The sequence below is a fragment of the Homo sapiens genome, chromosome 13 (genome assembly GCF_000001405.40).
Source record: "Homo sapiens chromosome 13, GRCh38.p14 Primary Assembly".
Classification (NCBI taxonomy): domain Eukaryota; kingdom Metazoa; phylum Chordata; class Mammalia; order Primates; family Hominidae; genus Homo; species Homo sapiens.
The window spans coordinates 24715902-24717647 of NC_000013.11; the positions used below are offsets into that span (position 1 = coordinate 24715902).

The window sequence follows — 1746 nt, forward strand, 5'->3', positions numbered from 1 at the left end:
AAGACTCCATCTGAAAAAAAAAAAAAAAAAAAAAAAAGACAGCGGCAATCACTGATATTTGTTAAGTATCTATTATGTTCTGGGTTCCTAACAGCATGATCTTATTAACGCTCACAACGGCCCCGTCAGCTGTGGCATCAGCCGTGCTTTACACTCAGGAAGTTAAGCCTAGAGGCCCAGTGACTTCCTGGCACTGTGACCTCTCCTGACCACTAAGAGGCTCCACTGTAGAATCTGGCAAGTGGTTTAGGGAGAGTTTGCCCTTCGATGGAATATAGATGCCTCTAGAGCATAGCCTGCAGGTGTTGAGTTCTGTCTTACAGCTCTGCAGGTTACTGATAACTGAGAGCAACAGAAAGTATTTCTATAGATATGCAAATGAATCCTACCCAGTGGGTGAAGATCTTTCCTCCTTGGAAAAGCCAGTTTTGCTCCCTTTGCACAATCAGCCAACATTCCTGATTCCAGATAAAAGCGTGCCTCTTTGCTCCTCTCAGTAGATTTTAACAACTGCCTAGTTTCCTATTTAAGTGGTGAGCTTTAAAAAAAAATCTTTAATATGTGTTCACTGTTATATCTGTATGAAAAAATTATCCTTACACCATGAACAGAGGAAGAAGAACACAATTCCCTCCTCATTTAGGGTCCTTCTCAGCCCCTCCGTGGAGCTAGGCACCCAGCCCGTCCGAGATCCTGAACCCCCGCACGCTCCAGGGCCATTCTGCTATTGGGCAGGGATGCCGTTTTTTTCTGCTTCAGACCAGTTCTCTCAGCAAGCTCCTTCTTCCCCGTCCCCATTCCTACTTTCCCACCCTCCCCTCTGACATACCAGAACCAAGCTTGGGGGATTTTATCTTCTTGGTCCAGAGGTTCTAAGATAAAGTTAACTGGAAATTTAAGGTAAAAGCCTGATTAATTTTAAAGGGATAGAAGCTGCCCTCCTCAGACTTGCTGTGCAGGTAGATAGAGATTCGGTGGAGTGAAGCACTTCAATGCAAGAGTTTATTTGTAGTTTGGGGGATTTCTTTTTTTCTAATTTTTTTTTTTTTTTTTACATTTTCTATTTACACAAAGGGATTTCTTCCACTCCACCCGCACCCGCCGCCTCTGCTTTCAATCTTTTTTCTTTTCTTTTCTTTTCTTTTTTTTTTTTTTTGAGACAGGGTCTCACTCAGTCATCCAGGCTGGGGTGCTAGAGTGAGTGCAATGGTGTGATCTCAGCTGCAACCTCTGCCTCCCGGGCTCAAGCCTCAGCCTCTTGAGTAGCTGGGACTACAGGTGCACTCCATCACGCCCAGCTAATTTTTGTATTTTTTGTAAAAAAGGGGGTTTGGCTATACTGCCCAGGCTGGTCTTGAACCCCTGGGCTCAAGTGATCCACCCACCTTGGCCTCCCAAAGTGCTGGGACTACAGGTGTGAACCACCACACCCAACCACTTTCGTTGTTTCAAATTTAGCACCTGCTAGGTACACAGCACAGTGCAGAACAATGCTGTGCTGGTCTGAGAGGACAAAATGACGCAATAGGGAAGACCAGGCATGTTTGCAAATAAACTGTCAATCGGGGCAGGATTTGGCCGAGGCCTTGAGAGGTATACAGTGCTGTGGGTTTCCAGGGAGACCATCTTTGGTGGGCAACAGTGGAGGGTGCCAGGAGGCAAGGCATCCAACTCAGCCTTGAGGAGTAGGGTTCCAATTGCAGAGGTGAAGCAGAGGAAAGGGCAGGGGCCAAAGATGTGCCCAGG

At 46.4% G+C, this 1746-nt stretch overlaps 1 annotated feature.

Moving 5' to 3' along the window:
* Nucleotides 1-645: an enhancer, noted in NCBI's record as "OCT4-NANOG-H3K4me1 hESC enhancer chr13:25290040-25290684 (GRCh37/hg19 assembly coordinates)". NCBI's record gives its function as "activates a minimal SCP1, AML or CMV promoter by ChIP-STARR-seq in naive H9 embryonic stem cells {active_cell/tissue: H9 hESC(naive)}" and the evidence as "EXISTENCE:reporter gene assay evidence [ECO:0000049][PMID:30033119]".